This window comes from Homo sapiens, chromosome 19, assembly GCF_000001405.40.
Source record: "Homo sapiens chromosome 19, GRCh38.p14 Primary Assembly".
Classification (NCBI taxonomy): Eukaryota; Metazoa; Chordata; class Mammalia; order Primates; family Hominidae; genus Homo; species Homo sapiens.
The window spans coordinates 8934365-8944551 of record NC_000019.10 but is presented as its reverse complement, the minus strand read 5'-3'; the positions used below and the strand labels follow the sequence as shown (position 1 = coordinate 8944551).

General features: G+C 44.0%; 1 protein-coding gene across 4 annotated transcripts in view; it reads left to right on the top strand.

Annotated features, from left to right (window-relative positions):
• The window catches only part of MUC16 (mucin 16, cell surface associated), a gene marked incomplete in the record, with an annotated part of 216908 nt that overhangs the window by 121200 nt on the left and 85521 nt on the right, over positions 1–10187 (top strand). For all 4 annotated transcript variants that reach the window (NM_001414686.1, NM_001401501.2, NM_001414687.1 and 1 more), the window contains 2 exon segments: positions 880–993; positions 4985–9664. In NM_001414686.1, the coding sequence (NP_001401615.1) occupies positions 880–993; positions 4985–9664 (4794 nt within the window).

Genomic DNA, 10187 nt, shown 5'->3' with positions numbered 1-10187 from the left:
TGGCACCAACTTTTGTTCTGGACACAAATCCAAAGAGGCCCTCCAACGACTCGAGTTTCTGCCTCACTGGACAATATCTCCAGGAGAATGATTTGCTCCCTCTCCTTCTTCACATTATTTTGTAATTCACACTAAATTTAGACACATTGGTGGCTATTGACCCATATGTTACTATGTGACTCAGTAGTTGAGTCACGGGTGTTCAGTAAGCAAGTGATGAATGGCATGGCGAGAAGGGAGAAGTGTAGTTGGATGGATAAAAGGAAGAATGGAGAGAAGAGTGAATGGAAGGAAGCAAAGATGAAGCGGAGGAAGGATAGATGCACAGAAGGAAGGATGAAAAGAAAGAAAGATGATGGAAGACAGGATTGAAGGGGATATAGATTGAAGGAAAGAAAGGTAGAAGGATGAAATGAAGTAAAGATTGAAGAAAAGATGGATGGAAAGAAGAAAGGAGGGTGCACAAAAAATCTCACACTTCACCACATATGATTCATCCATATAAGAAAAAACCACTTGTACCCTCAAAGCTATTGAAATACAAACTTTTAAATTAAAATTTTAAAAAGCAAGAGAAAGGAAAGAAGGGAGGAAAGACAAAAGGAAGAATGGGTGATAGAAGGAAAGAATAAAAGGAAGAAAAAATGGAAGAATAGATGATCAGATCTAGGGATGAATGAAAGGAAGGATGGACAAATCTATAGGTAGGTGGATGGATCTATGGACAGGTGTGGCCACTTATGGCACATAGTCCCAGCTCCAGTTCATACTGATGGACTTGAGGAGTGTTTGTGGCCAATGAAGTGGATCCATTTAGACAGTGCTCTTCTTCTGAATGAGATGAGTTACCCCAGTTTTTCTCCCCACCTTCATCTTCAGGAACTGATGGCATTATGGAACACATCACAAAAATACCCAATGAAGCAGCACACAGAGGTACCATAAGACCAGTCAAAGGCCCTCAGACATCCACTTCGCCTGCCAGTCCTAAAGGTAGGTTTAACTTTGCTTACCTCCCAGTAATGCCACTCGTGACCATATTTCCTCCTCCAGAGAGACAAAATGTTTGTATTCTTTAGAGAGAGAATTGTGTGTGGTTGTCATAGGTTTCCCTGTCTGAACTGAGTCTTTATCTAATGGTTACCAGGCAGATGTTACCACTTCTCTTTCTCCTCATGGCATGCTGAGTGAGTTTTGTCCAACATCAAATATTCACAAATTTGTCCATATTAACCAAATTTTAAAAATGCTCATTAAAAACTTACTATGAGCTGGGCGCAGTGGCTCATGCCTGTAATCCCAATACTTTGGGAGGCTGAGGTGGGTGGATCACCTGAGGTCAAAAATTCGAGACCAGTCTGACCAAAATGGTGAAACTCCATCTCTACTGAAAATATAAAAATTAGCCGGGCATGGTGGCACACACCTGTAATCACAGCTACTCAGGAGGCTGAGGCAAGAGAGTCACTTGAACCCAGGAGGTAGAGGCTGCAGTGAGCTGAGATTGTGCCAATGCACTCCAGCCTGGGTGGCAGAGCAAGACTCCAGCTCAAAAATAAATAAATAAATTATATATATATATATATATTTTATTTAAATAAAATATACTATATATATATGTATATATATATGTATGTATATATATATATGTATGTATATATATATATATATATATATATATATATATAGAGAGAGAGAGAGAGAGAGAGAGAGAGAGAGACAGAGTATGTCTGAAAATGCATCCCAATAGTTCTAGCAAATGTAGGAAAAGGAAGTATAAATTAACAGCCTTTATGTATGCCCTGGTTGAAAAACAGACATAACTCTCTTGTAAGAGAAACTTCACAAAAATATCTAGGATTATATCTCCCATGATGAAAAATTTGGAACTGTACATTTTTTTTAACTGTCACTTAAATAAAGAAGATGGGTGAGCTCCTGGGTTATTTTTGTTTGTCATCACTGGAGAGCTAAATCACAATATGTAAGTACAATGGGGGGAATAAAAACACGATATAAATGTAAGATGGTTTATGACATCACTGTTATATGTTTTCTTTGTCACAATATTTAGTAATTCCTCCTTCTGTTTTGAATAAAGTCTGAAACAAAATTTTCACTTTAAAAGGCAGTAATATGAAATACATAAATAAATAAAAATCTGGGTTTCTCAACTTTGACACTATTGTCATTTGGGGCAGATACTTCTCTGCGATGGGGGCTGTGCTGTGCGTTGTAGGATGTTTACCAGCCTCTCTGGCCTCTGTTCTAGATGCCATACCTTCTGCCCACACACAGTTGTGACAACCAAAAATATCTCCAGACATTGTTAAGTGTCCCCTGGAAGCAAAACTGCCCCTGGTTGAGAACCACTGAACTGGAGAATGCATCCTAAGATCCATCTTACTAGATGGGCGTTTTCACCTCACTTCATTCTCTTTCCATTCTGGTCCCCACAAGATCCAGAAGTTCCTTTAGTGAATTAATATAATGCAATGGTTAATAATATGGGTTTAGGATTTAGATACGATGATGTTCAAGTTTTTGCCCTGTCAATAGCTGTGTGTGACCTTGGTAAATTGTGGTCTCTGGATTTCTCTTTCTCTCCTGTAAAATGACAAGAATTATACAATGTGCATTTTATTTTATTTTATCTCACTTTATTTATTTATTTATTTGAGGTGGAGTCTTGCTCTGTCACCCAAGCTGGAGTGCAGAGGTGCAATCTCGGCTCCCTGCAACCTCCATCCCCTGAGTTTGAGTCATTCTCCTGCCTCAGCCTCCCGAGTAGCTGGGATTACAGATGCACGCCACTAAGCCTGGCTAATTTTTGTATTTTTAGTAGAGATGGGGTTTGACCATGTTGACCAGGCTGGTCTAGAACTCCTGACCTCAGGTGATCCGCCCACCTCGTCCTCCCAAAATGCTGGGATTACAGGCATGAGCCACCGCGCCTGGCCAGAATGTGCCATTTAATGTTCTTGTGAGGTTTAAAAAGACAGTGCATGTCAAGTGCTTTGCAATTGCTCCTCCTCCTCCTTCCCATCAACATAATCACCATCATGGTCACCATTATTGTTAGATACACATGAAGCACTTGAGAGTGCATTCTCAGACATATTGTTTTTAGAGGATATCCAGCAACACAGGGACACTGCTCCATAATCAGAGTCAAAATCCCTTTCATTTTACCCCCTTTCTCTACCAAGCTCCAGTAGGCTTTGTGGGCTTTATAGAGAAGCCTCCAGTTAGTTCTTCCTCTTCCCTAGGAACCATTTTCTAAAGCCTGGTCAGCAGCTGCTGTCTCATCAATGCTACTGGAATCTTGTTCAAAGGTATTCCAGTCACCTTGGTCAGCTCTGGTAGTGTCTAGTGTGGTTGGTGGAGAATTCTATTTAGCAAATGTTTATTTTGTAGTAGAATTATTAGTAGTGACAGTAGTAATGGTAAGTAGTAGTGGTAGTAACAATAGCAGCAATAGCACTAGTAAGTAGTAGTAACTGTAGCAATAACCATAGCAATAAGCAGTAATACTAGTAGTAATAGTAGTGATAATGGCAGTAATGGTATGTAGAGTTGTGTTGGTAGTAACAGTAGTAGCAGTAGGTAGTAGCAGTGGTAGTAGTGACAGTAGAAATCATAAGTAATAGTGCTAGCAACAATAGTATTAATAGTAGTAACCATAGTAATAACATAGTAATAACCATAGCAATAGGCAGTAATATTAGTAGTAACAGTAGTAATAACAGCAGTAATGACAGAGCACTACCATTACTGCTGTTACTCTACTGTAGGTAGAGTAGTAATATTAAGTGGTAGTGATAGTAATAATAGTAATAGCAACAGCAGTAGTAATAGTAAGTAGCAGTAACCATAGTAATAACCATAGTGATAGGTAGTAATAGTTGTGGTAACAGTAGTAATAACTGCAGTAATGGTAGGTAGAGTGGTGGTAGTAGTAACAGTAGTAGTAGCAGTGGTAGCAGTAACAGTAGCAATAGTAATAGTGGTAGTAACAGTAGTAGCAGTACTAGTAGTAGTAATCATAGTAATAACCATTGCAATAGGTAGTAGTAACAGTAGCAATAACAGCAGTAATGGTAGGTGGAGAAGTGATAGTAATAACAGTAGCAATAGCAGGTCATAGTCGTGGTAATAGTAGTAATGTCTTATCGTGACCCAGGAGGCACTGTGCTTGGCGCCTTTTTACCAACACTTTGAGATGGCCATTGTACTTATCCCCACTTTATAGACGGGAAAATGGAGGTCCAGCAATATTTTTTAACTTAAAGAGCCACCCATCTCTTTAGAGAAAGAGCCAGAATCCCAGGCAGGGCTATCTTATTCCAGAGCCCAAGCTCTCAAACACATGATACACAATACTTAATCTCTCTCAAGTCAGAGGAGATCCACTTAAGTATACATCCATCCACATATTCATTCATTCAATCATTCAACAAATATTAGTTGAGCACTTACCGTATGCCAAACAGTCAAACGTGAATAGCTGTTACAAATGAGACTGTGAAGGATGGTACAACGCAGATTCAGACAGTGTGATAAGGAAATATTGAGAAGCAAAGATGAGTTCTGGAGTGAATTTGTAAAGGTGGATGTGGGCTTGGATTTCAATAATGGCAGAACTTAAGGAATCTGATGAGAAGTGGGCACTTCAGGCAGAGAGAAGAGCTTGAACAAGGCTCAGAGGCTGACAGTGCAGGAAACACATGGGAAGAGGGAATAGAGTAGCGGTCAAGAATTCACAGAGGAGTTATAGGTGAAGATGCAACCAAGTTACAGACCAAGGTAAGATAGGGGAATACCAATCACAATCTCTTTTCCCATTCCAGAAGCATCCCAGACACATCCTAGTAACCGAGAGACATTTCTCTCCCTTTCCTCCTGTGGAGAATAAATAAGCTATTGCAAGTCCAGTAAGTGTAATCATTTTGTTCAAATTGTGTGCCCATTCCCCAATTTACAGGACTACACACAGGAGGGACAAAAAGAATGGAGACCACCACCACAGCTCTGAAGACCACCACCACAGCTCTGAAGACCACTTCCAGAGCCACCTTGACCACCAGTGTCTATACTCCCACTTTGGGAACACTGACTCCCCTCAATGCATCAATGCAAATGGCCAGCACAATCCCCACAGAAATGATGATCACAACCCCATATGTTTTCCCTGATGTTCCAGAAACGACATCCTCATTGGCTACCAGCCTGGGAGCAGAAACCAGCACAGCTCTTCCCAGGACAACCCCATCTGTTTTCAATAGAGAATCAGAGACCACAGCCTCACTGGTCTCTCGTTCTGGGGCAGAGAGAAGTCCGGTTATTCAAACTCTAGATGTTTCTTCTAGTGAGCCAGATACAACAGCTTCATGGGTTATCCATCCTGCAGAGACCATCCCAACTGTTTCCAAGACAACCCCCAATTTTTTCCACAGTGAATTAGACACTGTATCTTCCACAGCCACCAGTCATGGGGCAGACGTCAGCTCAGCCATTCCAACAAATATCTCACCTAGTGAACTAGATGCACTGACCCCACTGGTCACTATTTCGGGGACAGATACTAGTACAACATTCCCAACACTGACTAAGTCCCCACATGAAACAGAGACAAGAACCACATGGCTCACTCATCCTGCAGAGACCAGCTCAACTATTCCCAGAACAATCCCCAATTTTTCTCATCATGAATCAGATGCCACACCTTCAATAGCCACCAGTCCTGGGGCAGAAACCAGTTCAGCTATTCCAATTATGACTGTCTCACCTGGTGCAGAAGATCTGGTGACCTCACAGGTCACTAGTTCTGGGACAGACAGAAATATGACTATTCCAACTTTGACTCTTTCTCCTGGTGAACCAAAGACGATAGCCTCATTAGTCACCCATCCTGAAGCACAGACAAGTTCGGCCATTCCAACTTCAACTATCTCGCCTGCTGTATCACGGTTGGTGACCTCAATGGTCACCAGTTTGGCGGCAAAGACAAGTACAACTAATCGAGCTCTGACAAACTCCCCTGGTGAACCAGCTACAACAGTTTCATTGGTCACGCATCCTGCACAGACCAGCCCAACAGTTCCCTGGACAACTTCCATTTTTTTCCATAGTAAATCAGACACCACACCTTCAATGACCACCAGTCATGGGGCAGAATCCAGTTCAGCTGTTCCAACTCCAACTGTTTCAACTGAGGTACCAGGAGTAGTGACCCCTTTGGTCACCAGTTCTAGGGCAGTGATCAGTACAACTATTCCAATTCTGACTCTTTCTCCTGGTGAACCAGAGACCACACCTTCAATGGCCACCAGTCATGGGGAAGAAGCCAGTTCTGCTATTCCAACTCCAACTGTTTCACCTGGGGTACCAGGAGTGGTGACCTCTCTGGTCACTAGTTCTAGGGCAGTGACTAGTACAACTATTCCAATTCTGACTTTTTCTCTTGGTGAACCAGAGACCACACCTTCAATGGCCACCAGTCATGGGACAGAAGCTGGCTCAGCTGTTCCAACTGTTTTACCTGAGGTACCAGGAATGGTGACCTCTCTGGTTGCTAGTTCTAGGGCAGTAACCAGTACAACTCTTCCAACTCTGACTCTTTCTCCTGGTGAACCAGAGACCACACCTTCAATGGCCACCAGTCATGGGGCAGAAGCCAGCTCAACTGTTCCAACTGTTTCACCTGAGGTACCAGGAGTGGTGACCTCTCTGGTCACTAGTTCTAGTGGAGTAAACAGTACAAGTATTCCAACTCTGATTCTTTCTCCTGGTGAACTAGAAACCACACCTTCAATGGCCACCAGTCATGGGGCAGAAGCCAGCTCAGCTGTTCCAACTCCAACTGTTTCACCTGGGGTATCAGGAGTGGTGACCCCTCTGGTCACTAGTTCCAGGGCAGTGACCAGTACAACTATTCCAATTCTAACTCTTTCTTCTAGTGAGCCAGAGACCACACCTTCAATGGCCACCAGTCATGGGGTAGAAGCCAGCTCAGCTGTTCTAACTGTTTCACCTGAGGTACCAGGAATGGTGACCTCTCTGGTCACTAGTTCTAGAGCAGTAACCAGTACAACTATTCCAACTCTGACTATTTCTTCTGATGAACCAGAGACCACAACTTCATTGGTCACCCATTCTGAGGCAAAGATGATTTCAGCCATTCCAACTTTAGCTGTCTCCCCTACTGTACAAGGGCTGGTGACTTCACTGGTCACTAGTTCTGGGTCAGAGACCAGTGCGTTTTCAAATCTAACTGTTGCCTCAAGTCAACCAGAGACCATAGACTCATGGGTCGCTCATCCTGGGACAGAAGCAAGTTCTGTTGTTCCAACTTTGACTGTCTCCACTGGTGAGCCGTTTACAAATATCTCATTGGTCACCCATCCTGCAGAGAGTAGCTCAACTCTTCCCAGGACAACCTCAAGGTTTTCCCACAGTGAATTAGACACTATGCCTTCTACAGTCACCAGTCCTGAGGCAGAATCCAGCTCAGCCATTTCAACAACTATTTCACCTGGTATACCAGGTGTGCTGACATCACTGGTCACTAGCTCTGGGAGAGACATCAGTGCAACTTTTCCAACAGTGCCTGAGTCCCCACATGAATCAGAGGCAACAGCCTCATGGGTTACTCATCCTGCAGTCACCAGCACAACAGTTCCCAGGACAACCCCTAATTATTCTCATAGTGAACCAGACACCACACCATCAATAGCCACCAGTCCTGGGGCAGAAGCCACTTCAGATTTTCCAACAATAACTGTCTCACCTGATGTACCAGATATGGTAACCTCACAGGTCACTAGTTCTGGGACAGACACCAGTATAACTATTCCAACTCTGACTCTTTCTTCTGGTGAGCCAGAGACCACAACCTCATTTATCACCTATTCTGAGACACACACAAGTTCAGCCATTCCAACTCTCCCTGTCTCCCCTGGTGCATCAAAGATGCTGACCTCACTGGTCATCAGTTCTGGGACAGACAGCACTACAACTTTCCCAACACTGACGGAGACCCCATATGAACCAGAGACAACAGCCATACAGCTCATTCATCCTGCAGAGACCAACACAATGGTTCCCAGGACAACTCCCAAGTTTTCCCATAGTAAGTCAGACACCACACTCCCAGTAGCCATCACCAGTCCTGGGCCAGAAGCCAGTTCAGCTGTTTCAACGACAACTATCTCACCTGATATGTCAGATCTGGTGACCTCACTGGTCCCTAGTTCTGGGACAGACACCAGTACAACCTTCCCAACATTGAGTGAGACCCCATATGAACCAGAGACTACAGCCACGTGGCTCACTCATCCTGCAGAAACCAGCACAACGGTTTCTGGGACAATTCCCAACTTTTCCCATAGGGGATCAGACACTGCACCCTCAATGGTCACCAGTCCTGGAGTAGACACGAGGTCAGGTGTTCCAACTACAACCATCCCACCCAGTATACCAGGGGTAGTGACCTCACAGGTCACTAGTTCTGCAACAGACACTAGTACAGCTATTCCAACTTTGACTCCTTCTCCTGGTGAACCAGAGACCACAGCCTCATCAGCTACCCATCCTGGGACACAGACTGGCTTCACTGTTCCAATTCGGACTGTTCCCTCTAGTGAGCCAGATACAATGGCTTCCTGGGTCACTCATCCTCCACAGACCAGCACACCTGTTTCCAGAACAACCTCCAGTTTTTCCCATAGTAGTCCAGATGCCACACCTGTAATGGCCACCAGTCCTAGGACAGAAGCCAGTTCAGCTGTACTGACAACAATCTCACCTGGTGCACCAGAGATGGTGACTTCACAGATCACTAGTTCTGGGGCAGCAACCAGTACAACTGTTCCAACTTTGACTCATTCTCCTGGTATGCCAGAGACCACAGCCTTATTGAGCACCCATCCCAGAACAGAGACAAGTAAAACATTTCCTGCTTCAACTGTGTTTCCTCAAGTATCAGAGACCACAGCCTCACTCACCATTAGACCTGGTGCAGAGACTAGCACAGCTCTCCCAACTCAGACAACATCCTCTCTCTTCACCCTACTTGTAACTGGAACCAGCAGAGTTGATCTAAGTCCAACTGCTTCACCTGGTGTTTCTGCAAAAACAGCCCCACTTTCCACCCATCCAGGGACAGAAACCAGCACAATGATTCCAACTTCAACTCTTTCCCTTGGTTTACTAGAGACTACAGGCTTACTGGCCACCAGCTCTTCAGCAGAGACCAGCACGAGTACTCTAACTCTGACTGTTTCCCCTGCTGTCTCTGGGCTTTCCAGTGCCTCTATAACAACTGATAAGCCCCAAACTGTGACCTCCTGGAACACAGAAACCTCACCATCTGTAACTTCAGTTGGACCCCCAGAATTTTCCAGGACTGTCACAGGCACCACTATGACCTTGATACCATCAGAGATGCCAACACCACCTAAAACCAGTCATGGAGAAGGAGTGAGTCCAACCACTATCTTGAGAACTACAATGGTTGAAGCCACTAATTTAGCTACCACAGGTTCCAGTCCCACTGTGGCCAAGACAACAACCACCTTCAATACACTGGCTGGAAGCCTCTTTACTCCTCTGACCACACCTGGGATGTCCACCTTGGCCTCTGAGAGTGTGACCTCAAGAACAAGTAAGAATAACTTTTTTATTGTGGTAAAATATAAATACTATAAAAATTGCCATTCTAAACATTTTAATTGTACAACTCAGCAGTACTAATACATTCACATTGTTGTGCAACCCTCACCACTATCTGTTTTCAAAACTTTTTTTATCACCCCAAACAGGACTGAAGGAATAATTTCCCATTCCCCATTCTCCCTAGTGCAGTGGTGCAATCTCGGCTCACCACAACCTCTGAACCTCTGTCTCCTGGGTTCAAGCAATTCTCCTGCATCAGCCTCCTGAGTAGTTGGGACTACAGGTGCACGCCACCGTGCCTGGCTAATTTTTGTATTTTTAGTACAGACAGGGTTTTACCATGTTGGTCAGGCTGGTCTCAAACTCCTGACCTCAGGTGGTCCACACGCCTTGGCCTCCCAAAGTGCTGGGATTACAAGTGTGAGACACTGTGCCCGGCCATATCTGTTAGATCTTACTAATCCTGTCAAGAGGATTCAGTGTCCTTTTTTTTTTTTCTTTCTTTTTTTTGA